Consider the following 21823-nt stretch of genomic DNA (forward strand, 5'->3'; position numbering starts at 1 on the left):
GTCGCAGTGAGCCAAGATCGTGCCACTACACTCCAGCCTGGGTGCAGAGCGAGACTCTGTCTCAAAAAACAAAACACAACAAAACAAACAAACAAACAGCGACAACCCCCTCTCAAGAATAATCTGACCCTAATGTCAGAGATGCTGATACCCAGAGACCCTGGTCGAAGGGATGTTCCAGCCAGGAGCGGCTTTCTCGTGAACTGTGCATGTTGTTTGCATCCCGACAGGTTCAAGTGACAAAGCTGGGCAGGCTGAGGCCACCAAAGGGTTTCCTGGGTCCCTGTTCCTGCCACACACCTTGAATCCTCAATGCCAAGGCAACTGCAAACCCGAGGGACCCCAGGGGGGACACTAGGTCTGGACATGAAGGTTTGGCAGCAAACTGTCAGGACCCCCGGAGAGAACCCTGACTCCTGTGCCAACCCAACTGTGTCTGGCTCAACGCTCGACGCTCAAACACAGCAAACGGCAAGAAGGCAAGTCCAGGATATACGTTTTGGCAAAAATGGCAGCCGTGGGGGTGGAGGTGGAGGAGGACATGCACGGAGGGCTTAAACAGGGCTGTGTTTTTTTTTTTTTCTTTTAGATGGAGTCTCACTCTGTCACCCAGGTTGGAGTGCAGTGGCGGATCTCGGCTCACTGCAAACTCCACCCCCTGGGTTCAAGCAATTCTCTGCCTCAGCCTCCTGAGTAGCTGAGATTACAGGCGCCCGCCACCGCACCCGGCTAATTTTTGTATTTTTAGTAGAGACGGGGTTTCACTATCTTGGCCAGGCTGGTCTTGAACTCCTGACCTTGTGATCCACGTGTCTCGGCCTCCCAAAGTGCTGGGATGACAGACGTGAGCCACCGCACTGGCCGGGGCTGTGTTTTCATCTGGAGGTTTGCACGGGGCCGGGGCATTGTAAGGCTAAGCATGGGAATTTCAGTCTCTCCCCCAGAACCTTCTGGAGAGACACCACTGCAGCTACCACCGCTGCAGCTACCAGGCACCAGCTGACCAGGAGGGAGGAAACACAAGGCTGCTGTGTCTGGGGTCAGCCAGCAGGCCGGGGGTGAGGGCGGGGGTGACAGGGGAGCCAGCACACTTGTTGTGCACAAAGTTCCTTGTGACAGTGAGTTCGTCTTGGCCTCTGTCCCAAGATGAGGTTTTGATGACACGCATGGAATTTCTAACAATGAAATGGAGTGTGTGGTTTTGCTCACGCTTACATCCCCTTTTCTTGTCTATCCAAATTCCATTACGCCTTTTCTTGCTAATGCAGAAACACGGCCAAATCCTGGGCTGCCCCAGGAAGTGCCGAGGCCTCTTTCCGCTCTCAGTGGAAAAGGGAAATGTGGCTGCCTTGGGTCTGGGGTGCCCTGATTCTCAGAATCCCTGTGGGATGGGGAAAGAGTGTTTGGGTTGAGACTGGCTCACAGGAAGTGGGTAGAATGCAGCAGAAGGAGCGGCTGGGAGGCACTCTCTCATCCAGCCCCCGTGGCGACCCTCCTTGCTGGCTTATTTTGAGACGGAGTCTTGCTCTGTCGCCGAGGCTGGAGTGCAGTGGCGCAATCTCGGCTCACTGCAACCTCCGCCTCCCGGGTTCAAGCGATTCTCCTGCCTCAGCCTCCTGAGTAGCTGGTAGCTGGGATTACAGGCATCCAACACCAAGCCCGGCTAATTTTTTTATTTTTTGGTAGAGTCGCGGTTTCACCATGTTGTTCAGGCTGGCCTTGAACTCCTGACCTCAAGTGATCTCCGCCCACCTCAGCCTCCCAAAGTGCTGCGATTACAGGCAGGAGCCACCGCTCCCGGCCACCTCTGCTCACCTCCTCACCAAGCCCCAGCTTCTGTGACTGTCCCCCAGGGAGAGTGACCATGGCCCTGCTGGGCTCTGAGGGGCTTGTGCAGATGAGCAGGTGGCCTACACAGCCTGAGGGACCACCAGCTGCTCTGTGGCAAGTCTCGTGACTCCAATCCCGCTCTGCCTCTGGCCAGCCCCCGGGCCTTGCCACATCTTTTGGTTGCCGAGCCTCAGTTTCCCCACCTATAAAATGGGGACAATGAGCCCTGCTCCCCAGGGATCCTAGGAGAACTAAAGGAATTGGAGCAGTGGACCTGGCCTGCAGGGGGCACGGGAGAGGTATCTGCTGAGTCGCTGAGTAGGGGGAGCTGAGGATCAGGGAGGCGTCAGTGGTGGGGATGGCCCGGCTGCTGGGAACAGGGCCAGGGGACTTAGCCAGGGCCCGACGAGAGCTGCCTGATGTCATTGCTGGAGCCTCTTGTCATCCCTCCCAGCAGATGCTGCAGCATAGGGACCTAATCCCCACGGCACGTGGCCACATGGCTGGCAGCTTGAGCTTGCGGCCTGGAGACACCTGAGCCTTGCCCAGGCAGCTCCGTGCCACCTGCCGTCCAGCCACGCTGCCATCAGCCAGCACTTGTGTGTCCCAGAGGACGGGGCTCAGGGCAGGCTCCAGGGACCTCACCCTGGCCGTTTGACCTCCAGCAAAGGAGGTCTGGTCTCCCGGTCAGAAAACAGGAGAGAGGGCAGGGACTTCTCCATGGAGAATATATTCATGGAGAAGGACGTAAAAGGATCCAGACCAGACACCACGGGCACATGCGACCCCTCGGCCATCGGCCAGGTTTTAAATCATCACTGTCTTCGTCGTCATCCTGAGTGTCATTTGTGTGGGGGCCGGGACTAGGGTGAGGCCATGCGGCACTCACCTTGGGGGCAAAATCTAGGGAACGCCAAAAAGCCCTGCCGTGCTGGTAAATTATATTTTCATACAATCTTTTATTATTTATATAAAAATATATTTATATGTATTTATTAATATATATTTATCTATTATCTATAATATATAAATATGCATTTATAAATATATAAACAAATATATATTTATAAATATATAAAAACACATATACATATTTATAAATAAAATATATATTTAAAAAATATATATATATACACACACATATTTTGAGACAGAGTCTCGCTCTGGCCCCCAGGCTGGAGTGCAACGGCACGATCTCAGCTCACTGCAACCTCTGCCTCCCGGGCTCAAGTGAGTTTTCTGCCTCAGCCTCCCAAGTAGCTGGGATTACAGGCATGCGTCACCACGCCCGGCTAATTTTTTTTATTTTCAGTAGAGATGGGGTTTTGCCATGTTGGCCAGTCTGGTCTCGAGCTTCTGACCTCAGGCGATCCACCCACCTTGACCTCCCAAAGTGCTGGGATTACAGGCGTGAGCCACGGCGCCTGACTGCTTGTGTGTTCACAGCTGCCCCCCAACGCTTGCATTCCCGCCTGAGCTCCGCCTCCTGTCCCATCAGCAGTGGCATCAGATTCTCATAGAAGCGTGAACCCAATTGTGAACTGTGCATGTAAGGGATCTTGGTTGCACGCTCCTTATGAGAATCTAATGCCTAATGGCCTCGACTGGCCAACATGATAAAACCCCATCTCTACTAAAAAATACAAAAAATCAGCCGGAAATTGCTTGAACCCAGGAGGCGGAGTTTGCAGTAAGCTAAGATCATGCCACTGCACTCCAGACTGGGCAACAGAGAGAGACTCTGTCTCAAAACAAGCAAACAGAAATAATCTAATGCCTGATGATCTGTCACTGTCTCCCATCACCTCCAGATGGGACCATCTAGTTTTTATTTGTTTGTTTGTTATTGAGACAGAGTCTCGCTCTGTTGCCGAGGCTGGAGTACAATGGTGCGATCTCGGCTCACTACAACCTCCGCCTCCCGGGTTCAAGCGATTCTCCTACCTCAGCCTCCCAAGTAGCTGGGACTACAGGTGCCCACCACCACGCCTGGCTAATTTTTGTATTTTTAGTAGAGATGAGGTTTCATCTTGTTGGTCAGGCTAGTCTCGAACTCCTGACCTCAAGTGATCCACCCGCCTCAGCCTCCCAAAATGCTGGGGTTATAGGCGTGAGCCACCACACCCAGCCCAGGGACCATCTAGTTGCAGGAAACAAGCTCCGGGCTCCCAGTGATCCCACATTATGGTGAGTTGTGGAATTATTTTATTATATATTACAATGTCATAATAACAGAAACAAAGTGCACAAAAAAAGTAATGCGTTTGAATCGTCCCCAAACCATCCTCCCGGCTCCACCCCCCCCACCTCCCCACTGTCTGTGGAAAAACTGTCTTCCACGAATCCACTCCCTGGGGCCAAAAAGGTTGAGGACTGCTGCCTTAAGGAACCAGAAAAGGAAGAACGAAGGCAGCCCCAAGCCAGCAGGAGGAAGGAAATTGTAAAGATCAGAGCAGCGATAAACGAGACAGAGATGAGAAAAACTGGCGAGTCGACGAAACCAAAAGTTGGTTCTTTGAAAAGAGCTAGGTGATTGACAAACCTCTAGCGGGGCTGACCAAAAGCAAAACCAAAAAAAAAAAAAAAAAGAGGAAATAAGATGCAGATAACTACACGCAGAAACGAAAGGAGGACATTACTACCAACTGTATGGAAATAAAAGGCATTATCAGAGAACACGGTAGCATTATGAACCAGTGTGTGACATCCAATTAGGTAATCTACACGAAATGGACAAATTCCTAGAAAAACGCGAATGAAACAGATCAGCGATGGTTTCAGGTTCAGCTCACATCTCTTAGATACTGACATGCCAGCATGGTGCTGAGCATATATATATATACATATATATATGTAATATACATTTTATATGCAATATATATGTTATATATTATATGCAATATATTATGTTATATATTATATACTATATATTATATTTTATATGTACATCTCATTACATATATGTACACATTACATGTAACATCACATTACATATATGTAATATCACATGTAATAAATCATATCACATACACGCACATATTACATGCAATATATCATACTACATACATGCACACGTTACATGTAATATGTTATATTACATACATGCACACGTTACATGTAATATGTTATATTACACACATGTGCACATTACATATAATATATTACATATATGTACATATTACATGCAATATATTACATATATGCACATATTGCATGTAATGTTATATCACACACATGTACGTATCATGTGTAATATATCACATACATGTACATATTATATGTAATATTGCATACATGTACATATTATATGTAACATTGCATACATGTACATATTCTATGTAATATTACATACATGTGCATATTGCATGTAATATATTGTATGTAATATATTATATGTAATATATATTACACATATGTATATATTATATGTAATATATATTACACATATGTATATATTATATGTATATATGTATACACAGTGGCGTGCACCTATAGTCCCAGCTACTCAGGAGGCTGAGGCAAAGGGATTGCTTGAACCCAGGAGTTCAAGATTGCAGTGAGCTATGATATAATAGTATATTATAGCAGTGAACTATAATATATTATATATAATATATAATATATATATTTTTTTCTTTTCTTTAGAGACCTGGTCTCACTCTGTTGCCCAGCGTGGAGTCCCATGGTGCAATCACAATCACAGCTCACAGTAGCCTCCACCTCCTGGGCTCAAGTGATCCTTCTGCCTCAGCCTCCCAAAATGCTAGGATGACAGGCACGTGCCACCACACTGGGTATATTTTTTAAGAGACCGGGTCTCACTCTGTCACCTAGGCTGGAGTACAGTGGTGCAATCATAGCTCACTGCAACCCCGAACTCCTGGGTTCAAGCAATCCTCTTGCCTCAGCCTCCTGAGTAGCTGGGACTACAGGCGCACGCCACTGTGTATACATATATATAGGTATATGTGTGTATAAAATATATATGCTATATATATATATATATTTTTTTTTTTTTGAGACAGAGTCTCACTCTGTTGCCCAGGCTGGTGTACGGTGGCATGATCTTAGCTCACTGCAACCTCCATCTCCCAGGTTCAAGCGATTCTCCTGCCTCAGCTTCCAGAGTAGCTGGGATTACAGGCACCTGCCACCATGCCCTGCTAATTTTTGTACTTTTGGTAGAGACGGGGTTTCGCTGTGTTGGTCAGCCTGGTCTCAAACACCTGACCTCAGGTGACCCACCTGCCTCAGCCTCCCAAAGTGCTGGGATTACAGGCGTGAGCCACTGCACCTGGCTATTTTTATATTTTTGTATCTATATGCTTGTTTAATCTTTGCAACCTTCCTGCAAAACGGAGAACGTCATCTCCACTGCAGACAGTTGACGCGAACCCACCCAAACGGGGCAGAGCTGGTAAAAGGGGATCTGGGATTTGAACTCAGGTTTCCTGGCTCTGAGCCCGGAGCCCTTTTATGGGATGACTCAACCTCCCAAAGTGTCAGGCACACATAAAAGACTGGGGCTTGTTTGTTCCTTTTTCTAAAAAACAAGAGATTCCAACCTCATGAAGTAAGAGAAAATGCCACATACCTTTTTTAGTTTTCCCAGGAATCACAGCTTGCTGTACACCCTGTTTAAAAAAGGAGAGAGAAAGAGAAAAGCATGGTTACATATTTTTTACTTACAAGGAACTCACAGAGCTACCTCCAGCTTTTATCGGAGAACGACGTTGCTGTCCCCAAAAATGAGGCATGGGAATTCGAAAGGGCCGTGCCCTCCGGAGAAAACGGGGGCAGAATCCACTTTATTCTTTACCACCGATCCGTGCGGAGAAGACCTGGATGCTTCTCTTGCTGGACAACAGGGCAAATTATCTTCCAGAAACTTGTGTTATTCCATTTCAGAACAAGGAAGCCCCAACCCCACAGTCAAAGTCCAGTCCATCAGACACACCAGTGCAAGAAAAACAAAATACCCAGGCACGGCGCCTTCCCATGGAATACTTCGGTGTTTTTCCATCTCTGATTTCTACTTTTATGTAAGCCACGTGCCGGGCAAAGGGAGAGGTGGAAAGTGGAAACTGGGGACAAACCAATTAACCCCGAATGGAGGAAGTGACAGGTATACGGGGGGCAGGAAGGCCGGGGGTCTCATGTGAGCCGCCCAGGGCCAGGAGGTCAATAGGAAGGAAAGAACGTCTCCAGGCCCCGGTGATTGGTCTCCGGGGGTCGGGGCGGTTGGGGCCTTTGGAGCTGCGGTTTTCCATGGAACGGAATCCTCTGTTCCAAGCCGGACCCTGCACAGGGCCAGGCCCCGTATCCGTCTCCAATGCACAGTGCACGGATCGCGAGGGGGGGCCCACGGCCGTCTCCAATGCACAGTGCACGGATCGCGAGGGGGGCCCACGGGGACCACCTTCCGTGGTCTTTCCTGACTCCCACTAAGGTCTGGAGGGAGATCCAGGCAGCGATCTGCCCCCTCCAGCTTCGCGGCAGCCTCCTATTTCGTGGACAAGGAGGCCCGAGGCAGGCAAAGGCCCCTGCCTTGCGGAGCGTCTACACCGGCCGAGGTCATGGGGCCGGGACTTGCGCACAATGAACCCAGATGCCAGGTTCTGTGTCTCCCGGTTAGGCCACCACTGCTCTGCTGCTGAGCCGGCAGCCCCACTTGGAGAAGCCAGGAGCTGCACCACTGTCAGCTCTAGGGGAGGCCCCGTCCTGCCTAGCGGGGCTCACCCTGCAGTGGGCTTGCCCGGCGAGGTCAGCAGACGCCCCTGCACCGGGCCCAACCCAGGCCCAGCTTCCTGAGCTGCTCGAGGCCGGGCTGGGCCGGGTTCACGTGGCCAAGGCTGTTTCCCTCCTGCCCTGAAGGGCCCCTGTGGTCTCTGAAGCCGGCCAGGCCCCTCTTCCGTCACAAACATTTGCTATTTCCACAAACCAATGGGTTTTTTTCCACCGACACAAAGAAGAGCCACATGGCTGCTGCTCCTGGGCTGGAGTCCGGGCCACCCACACACGACACTTTCTCAGCAGCCCTGCGCCCCGGGGCTGCATTGGAGGCCAAGGAAGCTGAGGTCGGCGGGAAGCCTCCTCACCTTGCAGCCCAGCTGGGGAGGCCGAGTCCCGGCTTTCCCAGAGGCTCCCGGGTCTCAGCTGCAGGAAGGCGGTGACTGAGGTCACCTTCTCCTAAGCCAGGGTCTCTCCTCCCACCCAGCAATACGGACACCAGCGCCGGATTGTTCTCCGGGGCGGGAGCATCCTGGGCTCTGCAGGGTGGTGAGCTGCGTCCCTGGCATCCACCTGCTCCGTGCCAGGAGCACCCCCCAGATGTGTTGGCCACAAATGTCCCCAGACACTGCCCCGGGTCCCCTGGGGGGCAGAATCACTCCGTGTGAGATCCCTAACCTCTTAGTGACCTAGAGACATCCAGGGGGGCTGCCTCCCCTCCCACCTCTACACACACACACGCACACACAGACACACGCACACTCACACACATATGCACGCACACAGACACACGCACACACGTGCACACAGGAATACTCAGACACACGCACACACGTACACACGTGTACTGCACACTCACGCACATGCACACAAAGACACGCGCACACACGTACACACAAGACACGTGCACACACATTTGCATGCACACACAGACACACATGCACACACAGACGCACATGTGCACACACACGTGCACACACATTTGCACACACAGACACGTGCACACACAGAGGTGCACATACACGCACAGACACACATGTGCACACAGACACACACATGTGCACACACACAGACACACACACACGTGCACGCACACATGCACGCAGGAGCGAGCGCCTCCACCCAGCCCTGCATCTGAAGCAAGGTCCTGCTAGTAAACATGCACAGACTCAAGAAACGAGGGGCTGCAGGACTTTTCCTCCTCCTGCCCAAAGGCACCTGCACTCACAAAAGACTCAGAGGCTCCGCCTGGCCGGGTCAGCGAATGGAGTTGTAGCACCGTTTCAGGACCGTGATAGAGAAAGACGGGAAGTTAGACTTCTGACCCATCACAAACTCTGAGTCAAAGTGCGATGTGCCCAGGCCAGCCCGGTGTGACCTCAGCTCCTGATCCATAAAATCAGGACAGTGACCGAGGATGCTGGGGCCACCTCACCTGCAGCCCCGGGTCAGCCTCAGAACCCACAGGACTTTGACCCTGCCCCAGGCCATGGTCCTTGACCAGGGAACCACAGCTCCTTATTCTGATGGGGTGACTCGGTGCATTTCTCTCTCAGGCTTACTTTTTTTCTCTTTGAGACAGAGTCTCACTCTGTCGCCCAGGCTGGACTGCAGTAGTGCGATCTCGGCTCACTGCAACCTCTGCCTCCTGGGTACAAGCGACTCTCCTGCCTCAGCCTCTCAAGTAGCTGGGACTACAGGCACGGGCCACCAGGCCTGGGTAATTTTTTGTGTTTTTAGTAGAGAGGGGGTTTCACCGTGTTAGCCAGGATGGCCTTGATCTCCTGACCTCGTGATCCGCCCACCTCGGCCTCCGAAAGTGCTGGGATTACAGGCGTGAGCCACCGCGCCCGGCCTCTCAGGCTTACTTTTAGGTGGCTGGAAATACTGCTTTTCATGTGCACACTGTATTATTTTCATCATCCTTGCCACAGATGGGCACCGTGTTTTTTTGTTTTTGTTTTTGTTTTTTTTTTGAGATAGGGTCTGTTACCCAGGCTGGAGTGCAATGGCGTGATCACAGCTCACTGCAGCCTCAACCTCCTGGGCTCAAGCGATCCTCCCTCCTCAGCCTCCTGAGTAGCTGAGACTACAGCCACATGCCACCACACCCAGCTAATTTTTATTCCTGTAGAGATGGGGTTTTGCCATGTTGCCCAGGCTGGTCTCAAACTCCTGGGCCCAAGCGATCCTCCCACCTTGGCCTCCTAAAGTGCTGGATGACAGGTGTGTGCCACTGCACCCGGCCAGCAAAAATGGGTTTAAAGGCAGATGATCAAACCATGTTGTAGAACCTCAATTTTTAAAAATAAGAGAGTGTGTGTAGATGTCTGGGGAAAGGATAAAGTGCTGGGATTGTGGATGATTTTCCTCTCCTTATGTGATTCTCAGATTCTGTAAAATGAAGTTATATAACTTTCTTTCCTCTTCTTTCTTTCTTTCTCTTTTCTTTCTTCCTTCCTTTCCTTCTCTTTCTTTCTTTTTTCTTTCTTTCTTCTCTCTCTTTCCTTTTTATTTATTTATTATTTTTTTTGGGACAGGTGTCATTTTGTCACCCAGGATGGAGTGCAATGGCGCGATCTCTGCTCACTGCAACCTCTGCCTCCTGGGCTCAAGCAATTCTCCTGCCTCAGACTCCCAAGTAGCTGGCATTACAGGCATGCACCACCACTCTTGGCTAATTTTTGTATTTTCAGTAGAGACGGGGTTTCACCAACATGGCCAGGCTGGTCTCAAACTCCTGACCTCATGTGATCCACCCACCTTGGCCCCCCCAAAGTGCTGGGATTATAAGCGTGAGCCATCGCGCCCAGCCAGTTATATTCCTTTCATAGTCACAAAGAATATATATATATACACACACACACATATATATACATATACATATATATCCACAGTTGATTAGATTCTCATTATTTGTGGTAGTTCTGTTCTGTGAAGTCACCACAAAAACTGAGTTTGCGAACACAAATCATTACTCCTAGAGAACATTTTTGTAGGGGTAGTTTCCTTTGAGTTTCAGGAAACTTTCCTTTATCTGATCAATACATGACCTGTTCTGTGTGTCTTTTTTTTTTTTTTTTTGGAGACAGGGTCTCGCTCTGTTGCCCAGGCTGGAGTGCAATGGTGCAATCTCAGCTCACTGCAGCCTCAGTCTCCTGGGCTCAAGTGATTCTACTGCCTTGGCCTCCAGAGTAGCTGGGATTACAGGCACCCACCACCATGTCCGGCTAATTTTTTTTTCTCTCAAGATGGAGTTTGGCTCTTGTTGCCCAGGCTGGAGTACAATGGTGGATGTCGGCTCACTGCAACCTCCGCCTCCTGGGTTCAAGCGATTCTCCTGCCTCAGCCTCCCGAGTAGCTGGGATTACAGGCATGCACCGCCATGCCCAGCTAATTTTGCATTTTTAGTAGAGACAGGGTTTCTCCATGTTGGTCAGACTGGTCTCGATCTCTTGACCTCGTGATCCGCCTGCCTCAGCCTCCCAAAGTGCTGGGATTACAGGCGTGAGCCACCGTGCCTGGCTCAAAGGTGTCTTCTTGAATGCCTATCGATGATGTGAGTGTTGAATAGGGCAGCTGCTCTCTCAGTCCTGCCTGAGCAAAGCTTTTCTCACCTACCAGTTCCTCCACGAGGCCCTGAGGGACACGAGAAGGGGCCTCAGCACGATGCCTGGGGCCACTGCAAACAGCAAAATCACCAAAAAGAGCACAAAAACGCAAACCCCGAGGCTCTCGCTAGACAGTAATGAGGGCGTGGTCCACCTAGGAGGGGAAACGGGGAGGCGGAGCGTGGCCTGGGCTCAGGGAACGCACGTCCATGACTCTAATTTCTTGTCTCTCTCTGCGTGTCCAAGGATAAGAGGGAAAGTACCCCAGGCATTGATTTGGGGTTCACAAATACACACCAAGCCGGCGAATTCGCAAATACGGACTCCGTGAATGACAAAGGGGACTACAGTACAAACCCAGCCTGTCCCTCGCGCCCCTAGTGTGCTGAGGGCCTGGCCGTGGCAGGAAGGAAGGGACCGCCTCAGACCCCACATCACCCCATCCCCCAGGTCTGTCTCCCACCGGCCCCCAGGGTCGATTCTCAGGAGAGGAGGTCCGACCTGCTTTAGGGGGCCCAAGCAGGACCCCTTACCTCCACATCTTATTTCTGTGTCCCACCCAGCCCTTCCCTTGAGGCAGTGATTCTCACCTGGGAGTGGCCCTGCTCCCAGGGGACCCTGGGCGGTGGCTGGGGACATTGTGGTTATCCAGACTTGGGGGTGCTCCTGGCATGGGGTAGGCGGACGCTGCGGTGCCCAGGACGGCCCTGCTCCAGAGAAGGATCCAGCCCCGATGTCCACAGGGCCTGGGGGGACCCTGAATTCATTATTTGGAAAAAAGCTGGGCGCGGTGGCTCACGCCTGTCATCCCAGCACTTTGGGAGGCCGAGGTGGGTGGATCACTTGATGTCAGGAGTTCGAGACCAGCCTGACCAACATGGGTAGACCCCGTCTCTACTAAAAATACAAAAATTAGCCAGGCGTGGTGGTGGGTGCCTGTAATCCCAGGTACTCAGGAGGCTGAGGCAGGAGAACTGCCTGAACCTGGGAGGCGGATGTTGCAGTGAGCCGAGATCGTACCATTGCACTCCAGCCTGGGCGACAGAAGGAGACTGTTTCAAAAAAAAAAAAAAAAAAATTATTTGGGAAAACAGTTGAATGCAATTTCTGCTCACAGTAGGCATCAGAATAAGCTCCCGATGGGGCAGACGGTGTGTAAACCAGAGGGATCCCAGCTCCTGGGACTCACCTCCTCTCTCCCTCCCCCATTCAAGGTGTGGATTGCAATGTGTGCAGCCTCCTGGGACCTCAGCAGGGCAGAGGATCATGGGACGCAGAGTCTCTTGGGGGTCCGTGGAATCCCATAACCCAGGGGGGCTCAACCAGGATGATTCTGCTCCCAGGGGATGCTGGGCCATGTCTGGGGACATCTGTGGCTGTCACGACTGGGGGTGCTCCTGGAATGGAGTGGGTGGAGGCCAGGGACGCTGTTCAGCACCCTGCAGTGCCCAGGTTGGCCCAACCCCAGAGAATGACCCAGGCCCCAATATCCACGGTGCCCTGGGGAGACCCTGGTTAGGTCCTGTCACAGTTTTGGTGTCAGCACCACTGCCCTTCTGTGCCCAGGAGGGGCCCTGTCCTCCCCTTGTCCCTTCCTCTCTGCACCCTGGCCTGGGTCTTTGACCCTCCCAGCTCTTAGCACTCTTGGACACACAATCCCCACAAGAGCCTCTCTCAGAAAGATAGAAATGACACTGGTTGGCCGGGCGCAGTGGCTCATTCCTGTAATCCCAGCACTTTGGGAGGCCGAGGCGGGTGGATCACCTGAAGTAGGAGTTCAAGACCAGTCTGCCCAACATGGTGAAACTCCGTCTCTACTAAAAAAAAAAAAAAAAATTAGCTGGGCATAGCGGCAGGCGCCTGTGATCCCAGCTACTCGGGAGGCTGAGGCAGGAGAATCGCTTGAACCTGGGAGGCAGAGGTTGCAGTGAGCCGAGATTGCACCATTGCACTCCAGCCTGGGTGACAAGAGCAAAACTCTGTCTAAAAAAAAAGAAATGACACTGGCTTCTTTCTCTTCTTTGCACTCTGAAAAGCACCTGAGAGCAAAGTGCCCAGCAGAGGCAGCTGCCCCGGGGCGACCCGAGAAACAGGAAACCCTGTTTCTGAGCTTCGCAGGCTCTTCTGGGAGACCAGCGGGTAATCCCCTTCCTCCGACATTTCTCTGAGAAGTCTCTCTGCGTTCTGCTTCTCAGAAAGAAACCAGGGTCCGGGGCAGGCATTCACGCCCTCCACCCACTCAGGGGTTTGCAGTAACACCCTTGGGATCTGCAGGTTCACACAGAGCCAGAGCCGTGAGTCACCGCAGCCCCGGAGCTGCCGGGGTCCCCACCTGCTCAGCCCCAGGAACACACATCTACAGCGGGTTCCTTTTTCTTTTCTTTCTTTTTCTTTCTTTTTTTTTTTGAGACAGAGTCTGGCTCTGTCGCCCAGGCTGGAGTGCAGTGGCGCGATCTCGGCTCACTGCAACCTCCGCCTCCCAGGTTCAAGTGATTCTCCTGCCTCAGCCTCCCAAAGTGCCGGGATTACAGGCGTGAGCCACCGCGCCCCGCTCCTTTTCCTTTTCTTTTAAATGATTAATACTCATGATTTCTGTTCAGCTGAAAGCTACACTCACTTTCAATACCTACAACAGGGTTTTTCCCCCCGGGCACTGTGGACACTGGGGCCAGATCCTTCTCTGGGGTGGGGCCATCCTGGGCACTGCAGGGTGCTGAGCAGTGTCCCTGACCTCCACACACTCCATGCCAGCAGCAGGTGCCCCCAGACATTTACTGAGTGTACCCTGGTCAGGGGGGACAGGATCGCTCCCAGCGTACACTGGAATCTTAGGGGATTCCACAGACCCCCAAGAGACTCTGCGTCCATAATCCTCTGCCCTGCTGAGTTCCCAGAAGGCTGCACACATTGAAATCCACACTCTGAGTGGGGAGGGAGAGAGGATGTGAGTCCCAGGAGCTGCAGTCCCTCTGGTTTACACCATCGGCCCCATCGGGAGTTTATTCTGGTGTCCAGTGTGAGCAAGGGACAGATTCAATCTTTTTCTTTTTCTTTTTTTTTGTTTTTTGAGACAGAGTCTCGCTCTGTCGCCCAGGCTGGAGTGCAGTGGCGTGATCTCGGCTCACTGCAAGCTCCTCCTCCCGGGTTCACGCCATTCTCCTGCCTCAGCCTCCCAAGTAGCTGGGACTACAGGCGCCCACCACCACGCCCAGCTAATTTTTTTTTTGTACTTTTAGTAAAGACGGGGTTTCACCGTGTTAGCCAGGATGGTCTCGATCTCCTGACCTCGCGATCCACCTGCCTCAGCCTCCCAAAGTGCTGGGATTACAGGTGTGAGCCACTGCGTCCGGCCCAGTATTTTTCAAATAATGAACACAGGTCTCTCCCGTTCTGTACTCTGGACATTGGGCCTGGATCATTCTCTGGGGTGGGGCCGTCCTCGGCACTGTAGGCTGCTGAGCAGCGTCCCTGGCCTCCACCCACTCCATGCTGGGAGCACCCCGTAGTCGTGACTACCAGAAATGTCCCCACATTCTACTCAGGATCCTAAGAGAACCACTCCCAAGCATTATTGAGGTCACACTTTTTTTTGTTTTTGTTTTGAGATAGGTTTCATTTCTGTCGCCCAGGCTGGAGTGCAGTGGCACGATCTTGGCTCACTGCAACCTCTGACTCCCGGGTTCAAGTGATTCTCCTGCCTCAGCCTCCCTATAGTAGTTGGAACTACGGGTGTGCACCACCACGCCTGGCTAATTTTGGAATTTTTAGTAGAGATGGGGTTTCGCCATGTTGCCCAGGCTGGTCTTGAACTCCTGACCTCAAGTGATCTGCCCACCTCGGCCTCCCAAAGTGCTGGGATAATAGGCATGAGCCACCGCGCCCGGCCCAGGTCACACCTTTGAACACTTCAGTGGGCTCATTTTATGTGTGAATTTTTAGCCTAATTGTGAACTGTTGAGTTATTTAAACCTTCGCACCCAAACTTCCTTGGTCCAGAGAGGATTTGAAGCTCATACATAAACAACACAGCAGCATTGCAAATCAAGGAATGGAGGAGACGGTGAAGGTGGTATTTGGGGGTGTTGGGTGGGGTGGGAGAAACAGCAGGGAAAAATCAAAGGATGGTTAGCCAATGAGAATGGTGTTCGTGTGTGTAAGGGCAGGCTCCTAAACAGGAGTGTAGCTAATTTTCAACTCAAGAAAAAGAATGTGTATTGAATGCAGTGGGTTGAATAGTGTCCCGCAAAAGCTCACGTCCTCCTGGAAGCTTGGCACGTAACCTTCTCAGAGATGGGGTCTCTGCAGATGGAAGATGATACGGATCTTGGGATGAAATCATCATCCTGTTTGTAGGGTGGGCCCTAAATCCAATGACTGGTGTCCTTTTAAGAAGGAGAGACACAGGCTGAGATTGGTGGCTCACACCTGTAAACCCAGAACTTTGGGAGGCCGAGGCGGGAGGATCGCTTGAGGCCAGGAGTTCGAGACCAGCCTGGCCAACGTGGTGAAACCCCATCTCTACCAAAAATACAAAAATTAGCCAGGCATGGTGGCGTGCACCTGTACCACTCGGGAGGCGGAGGCACGAGAATTGCTTGAACCCAAGAGGCGGAGGTTGCAATGAGCCAAGATGGTGCCACCGCACTCCAGCCTGGGTGACAGAGCAAGACTCTGTCTCAAAACAGACAAACAAACACCAAGAAGGAGAGATTTAGAGATGCAGAGGAGAGGACATGGCTGTGTGGAGATGGAGGCAGAGACTGGGGTGACACGGCCACAAGCCAGACTCCTAGAGCCCCCAGAAGCTGGGAGAGGCCGGAAGGACCCTGCCCCTGGAGTCTCTGGAGGGAGCCTAGCCCTGCAGACACCTTGATCTCAGACTTCTGGCCTCCAAAAGTAGGAGAGGAGACTGTCACAAAATGTCTGTTATTTAAAGCCCCGCAATCTGTAATAATTTGCATGGCACTCTAGGAAATGAATACATTGGTCATTTAAAAAAAAAAAAAAGAATCAGGCCAGATGCGGTGGCTCATGCCTGCAATCCCAGCACTCTGGGAGGCTGAGGCAGGAGGACCACTTGAGACTAGGAGGTTGAGACCACTCTGGTCAACACAGTGAGACCCTGTCTTGAAATGGAATGAAATGAAATAAATACAATAAAATATCCGCTAAGCTTCTGTGTCTCCCTGTAGCCATGACAACAGAAGACCCTGAGGTGGAGAAGATGACGCCTTCCTGTTGGAATCACGGGCTCAGACTACATGGGGAAAACGGAAAACACACGTGCAACCCTCACACAACGTGTGCACCCTGCAGGCTCAAAAACCAAAGCTGTGCCAGGCGCGGTGGCTCACACCTGTCATCCCAGCACTTTGGGAGGCCGAGGCGGGTGGATCATGAGGTCAGGAGATCGAGACCAGCCTGGCCAACATGGTGAAACCCCGTCTCTACTAAAAAAATACAAAAATTAGCTGGACGTGGTGGCACACGCCTGTAATTCCAGCTACTCAGGAGACTGAGGCAAGAGAATCACTTGAACCCGAGAGGCGGAGGTTGCAGTGAGCCGAGATCGTGCCATTGCACTCCAGCCTGGGCAATAGAGAGAGACTCTGTCTCAAAAAAAAAAAAACAAAAACAAAAGCTGTTTGCGTCAAAGGAAGGGTCGGTTAGTTCCTTCCCTCCAGGACTGAATCCATGAGAACTGCAGAAATTTAGGATTAGGAACCAGTTCGCCCAGGGTTCCTAAAACCTGCAATCACTGGGAGAGGCCCATCCCACCCGGAAGAACCTGATTGAGTGGTCTGGGGTGTGCCGGGCACAGGGCAGTTGAGACTCCAGGTGACAGTTACCGGCAGCTCAGGGTGGAGGCTGTGTGAGCCCGGCCGAGTCCTACAGGAAGCGTCTGCAGAGTGTAATGTGCTCAGCGCTTCTGCAGGGGACGGGCGGAATGATGTGTGCAGACATTTTAAACCATGGTAGAGGCCGGGCACGGTGGCTCACGCCTGTTATCCCAGCACTTCGGGAGGCCAGGGCAGGCGGATCATCTGAGGTTAGGAGTTCGAGACCAGCCTGGCCAACATGGTGAAACCCCGTCTCTACTAAAAATACAAAAATTAGTCAGGCGTGGTGGTGGGCACCTGTAATCCCAGCTACTCGGGAGGCTGAGGCAGGAGAATCGCTTGAACCTGGGAGGCGGAGGTGGCAGTGAGCCAAAATCGCACCACTGCACTCCAGCCTGGGCGACAGAGCCAGACTCCGTCTCATAAATAAATAAATAAATAAATATAAAAAATAAATAAAGGGGACATTTGGACACAGATGCACACGGGAGGGAGAATGCTGTATAGATAGGAGATTGGGGTGACAAGGCAGAGATTGGGGGTGTCACTTCCACAAGCCAGGGAAGGCCAAGGATCTCCGGCCATCACCAGGAGCTGGGAGTGGCCCTGGGATGGATTCTCCCCACTGGCTTCGGAAGAACCCAGCCCTGCCTACACCTTGGCCTTGGACTTCCGGTCTCCAGAGCGGAGAGAGAATGAACCCGTGGTGTCTAAACGGCTAGGTCTGTGGACCTTGTACGAGCACCCCATGAAACTCACACAAAGCCCTAAAAGGCGTCTCAGCCTGGCTCCGGGGGAAGGGTCCGAGACAGCAGACCAGAACTGGGGCCACAGCAATGGTCGGGGGACACCTCCTTCCCCTCCCACCCCCACTGCTAAAGGACTGGCTAGAGGTTGTAAGGCCAGGGTTGGCAACATTTTCCTGTAAAAGGCCAGAGAGCAAACTTCTCTGGCTTTGTGGGTCAGATGGTCTCTGTTGCAACTGCTCGACTCAGCCACAGAGGCAGGAGAGGCTGCTGTGGACGATTTCTCAATGAGTGGGCATGGTGGGTGCCAATAAAACTTTATTTACAAAAACACACTGTCGCTGGGCATGGTGGCTCAAGCCTGTAATCCCAGCACTTTGGGAGGCCGAGGCAGGCGGATCATCTGAGGCCAGGAGTTCGAGACCAGCCTGACCAACATGGTGAAACCCCGTGTCTACTAAAAATACAAAAAAATTAGCCGGGCGCGGTGGCGGGCGTCTGTAATCCCAGCTACTCGAGAGGCTGAGGCAGGAGAATCGCTTGAATCCGGGAGGCGGAGCTTGCAGTGAGCCGAGATCGCGCCACTGCAGTCCACAGTCCGGCCTGGGCGACAGAGCGAGACTCCGTCTCAAAAAAAAAAACAAAAAAAACAAAAAAAAAACAAAAAAAAAAACACAAAAACAATAACAAAAAACCCACACTGTCCATCATGGGCCCTTGCTGGCTGACCTCTGCTCTAGAATCTCCTTAATTTCAAGTCATTGGGTTGGCCGTGATCATTCCTGTAGTGATGCTTCCAGAACACACCTTTTCCATCTGCAGGTTTATTTCTTCTCAGTTGTCGTCGATTTGTGTGTGTGTGTGTGTGTGACATAGGGTCTCACTCTGTCACCCAGGCTGGAGTGCCCGTGGTGCAATCACGCTGCCTCGACCTCCCAGGCTCAAGCGACCTCCCTGCCTCAGCCTCCTGAGCAGCTGGGACTACAGGTGCACACTACCACACCAGCTAATTTTTGCATTTTTTTGTATAGATGGGGTTTCGCCATTTTGCCCAGGCTGGTCTTGAGCTCCTGAGCTCAAGCGATCGTCCCACCTCGGCCTCCCAAAGTGCTGGGATTGCAAGCGTGAGCCGCTGCACTGGGCCGGTGTCCTCTGTCGTATCCTACTTAGGCACTGCCTCTGACGCTTCTGTGCTCCAGCGGCAGAGCTGAGTGCTGGAGCCGGAGACTGGGCCACAGAGCCGAAAACAGCAACCCTCTGGCCCTTTACAGGAAAAGCTCGCTGCCTTGTGGTCTAGGATGAGACCTAAAAGGTCACAAGTCTCCTCTTCAGAGCACCAGACTCCGACGGGGGCAGGGCAATGTCAACTGGGCAACAGGGAAGTCACCCATCTGTTCCCGGGCACCACGCGCTCAGGCATGGAAGGGAGAGAAGGGCGTTGCCATTCAGCAGGAACTCAGGAAGTAGGGCGTTCACAACGCCTTCCTGGAAAATGCATCTCACCAGGCACTCCAGCCACCCAAAAACAGAGACACGGGCATGCAAGCACACATGCACACACGTGCAGATACACACACATATAGACATACACACATATACACATGCACACACACACACTTACACACATGCACATACACACATATAGACATACACACATATACACATGCACACACATACACATACATACACACACATACACACATGCACATACACACACATATAGACATACACATACAGACATGCACACACGTGCACATACACACATATAGACATACACACATATAGAGACACATATAGACTTACACACATATACACACGCACACACATACACACGCACACACACATATACACACATATAGACATACATACACACACGTGCACATACACACATATAGACACACATATACAACACAAACACACACACATATACACATAGACATACACACATACATATACATACACACATACATATACATACACACACACATGCACATACACACAGACTTACGCACATACACAGGGTCTCTGTGTGTGCACATACACGTGCACATATACACACATACACATATATATACACACATATACACACATACACATGCACAAATACACACATATATAGACATACACACATATATACACATACACACATATATACACATATACACAAATACACATATACACATACACATACACATATATACACATACACACATACATAAAATATAGACACACATATACACATACAGACACATATACATACATACACACATACACACATACACATATACACATAAATACACATACACACATATACACGCACATATATACACACACATATACACACAAATATATACACATATGCAAATACACACAAATATACACACAAGTACACACACATACTCATGTGCACACACATATCCACACTATACACATATACATACATATACAAATATACAAATACACACAAATATACGCATACAGATCTGTGCACAAAAACATACACATACACATATTTACACACATATACACACAAGCAGACACATATACACAAAAGCACAAACATATACACAGAAGCGCACACACATACACACAAGCATGCAAGCACACACACACATACACACAAATGCACACATGCATATACCCACAGGTGCGCGCACACACACACAACTCAGTGAAGGGAGAGGCCCCAGCATGAGGCACCTGCTGGGGATCAGTTCCACAAAGGGTGCAGCATAACTGCTGGAGCAGGAACAGCTACACAGTGGATGGCGATCATCTCCATTCTCTCTCTCTCTCTCTTTCTTTTTTTTGTGAGACAGAGTCTCGCTCTGTCGCCCAGGCTGGAGTGCAGTGGCGCGATCTCGGCTCACTGCAAGCTCCGCCTCCTGGGTTGACACCATTCTCCTGCCTCAGCCTCCCGAGTAGCTGGGACTACAGGCGCCCGCCACCACACCCGGCTAATTTTTTGTATTTTTAGTAGAGACGAGGGTTCACCGGGTTAGCCAGGATGGTCTCGATCTCCTGACCTCGGGATCCACCCGCCTCGGCCTCCCAAAGTGCTGGGATTACAGGCGTGAGTCACCGCACCTGGCCAATCATCTCCATTCTTAAACAAAAAGTGTGAGACATGACAATTATGTCGCTATCATACTAAATAGGGTCTCTCTTAGCACTGTGGACACTGTAGCCAGACCGTTCTCTGGGGTGGAGCCATCCTGGGCACTGCAGGGTGCTGAGCAGCGTCCCTGGCTTCCACTCACTCCATGCCAAGAGCATCCCCATCGGGACAACCACAGATGTCCCCAGACATCACCCGTCCCCCAGTCATGACAACCACAAACGTCACCAGACATCTCCCGGTGTCCCCTGGGAGCAGGATCAGCCCCAGCTGAGAACCACCACACTAGAACAACTGCGACAAAAATAGCCACAAAATCCTAGAATCCAGCAGCACAGGACTGAGCAATGTCAGTGACATGGGGCCAATGTTTGTGCCTCCGGATCTCACACTGAAATGCGACCCCCTATGTTGGAGGTGAGGCTGGGTGGGCGGCATTTGGGTTGTGGCGGGAGGGGGGTCCCTCATGGCTTGGTGCTCTCCCCTCGGGAATGAGCGAGTTCCCACTCTGTTAGTTCACGGACGACCTGGTTGTTAAAAAAAGCCTGGCACCTCCTCCCTCCTTTCTCTCGCTCCCTCTCTGGCCGTATGAGATGCCCGTTCCCCCTTCACCTTCTGCCATGAGTGGAAACTTCCTGAGGCCTCACCAGAAGCCCAGGAGATGCTGGCACCATGCTTGTATGGTCTGTAGAACTGTATGGTCTGTAGAACTGTGAACCAGATAAACTTCTATGCTTTATAAACCCCTCAGCCTCAGCTCTATTCCTTTATAGCAACACAAAACAGACTATGACAGTCAGGCACGGGGAGACACGCAGAGCTTGACTGGGCCTCAGGTCAGGAAGGAAACTTCCCTTTCCAGCCACATGTGGATGGGGCCCGTGTTCACTGGGGAAGTGGCATCTGCAAACCTCAGCTCTTCCATCTGTAAAATGGGCATCTCCACAC

At 51.5% G+C, this 21823-nt stretch overlaps 1 protein-coding gene across 2 annotated transcripts in view, besides 5 other annotated features; it reads right to left on the reverse strand.

Moving 5' to 3' along the window:
- Window positions 1–21823, reverse strand: part of GNG7 (G protein subunit gamma 7) — a 191476-nt gene that overhangs the window by 37506 nt on the left and 132147 nt on the right. For both annotated transcript variants that reach the window (NM_052847.3, XM_047438629.1), the window contains one exon: window positions 6425–6464. The gene's annotated coding sequence lies outside the window, so the exon portion shown is untranslated. The remainder of the gene's footprint in view (window positions 1–6424; window positions 6465–21823) is intronic.
- Window positions 7949–8562: an enhancer, noted in NCBI's record as "H3K27ac-H3K4me1 hESC enhancer chr19:2556671-2557284 (GRCh37/hg19 assembly coordinates)". NCBI's record gives its function as "activates a minimal SCP1, AML or CMV promoter by ChIP-STARR-seq in naive H9 embryonic stem cells {active_cell/tissue: H9 hESC(naive)}" and the evidence as "EXISTENCE:reporter gene assay evidence [ECO:0000049][PMID:30033119]".
- Window positions 10992–11492: an enhancer, noted in NCBI's record as "H3K4me1 hESC enhancer chr19:2559714-2560214 (GRCh37/hg19 assembly coordinates)". NCBI's record gives its function as "activates a minimal SCP1, AML or CMV promoter by ChIP-STARR-seq in naive H9 embryonic stem cells {active_cell/tissue: H9 hESC(naive)}" and the evidence as "EXISTENCE:reporter gene assay evidence [ECO:0000049][PMID:30033119]".
- Window positions 13911–14000: an enhancer, noted in NCBI's record as "active region_13703". NCBI's record gives its function as "activates an Ori minimal core promoter by ATAC-STARR-seq in GM12878 lymphoblastoid cells {active_cell/tissue: GM12878}" and the evidence as "EXISTENCE:reporter gene assay evidence [ECO:0000049][PMID:35858748]".
- Window positions 18469–18996: an enhancer, noted in NCBI's record as "H3K27ac-H3K4me1 hESC enhancer chr19:2567191-2567718 (GRCh37/hg19 assembly coordinates)". NCBI's record gives its function as "activates a minimal SCP1, AML or CMV promoter by ChIP-STARR-seq in naive H9 embryonic stem cells {active_cell/tissue: H9 hESC(naive)}" and the evidence as "EXISTENCE:reporter gene assay evidence [ECO:0000049][PMID:30033119]".
- Window positions 18997–19524: an enhancer, noted in NCBI's record as "H3K27ac-H3K4me1 hESC enhancer chr19:2567719-2568246 (GRCh37/hg19 assembly coordinates)". NCBI's record gives its function as "activates a minimal SCP1, AML or CMV promoter by ChIP-STARR-seq in naive H9 embryonic stem cells {active_cell/tissue: H9 hESC(naive)}" and the evidence as "EXISTENCE:reporter gene assay evidence [ECO:0000049][PMID:30033119]".

The sequence above is a fragment of the Homo sapiens genome, chromosome 19 (assembly GCF_000001405.40).
Source record: "Homo sapiens chromosome 19, GRCh38.p14 Primary Assembly".
NCBI lineage: Eukaryota > Metazoa > Chordata > Mammalia > Primates > Hominidae > Homo > Homo sapiens.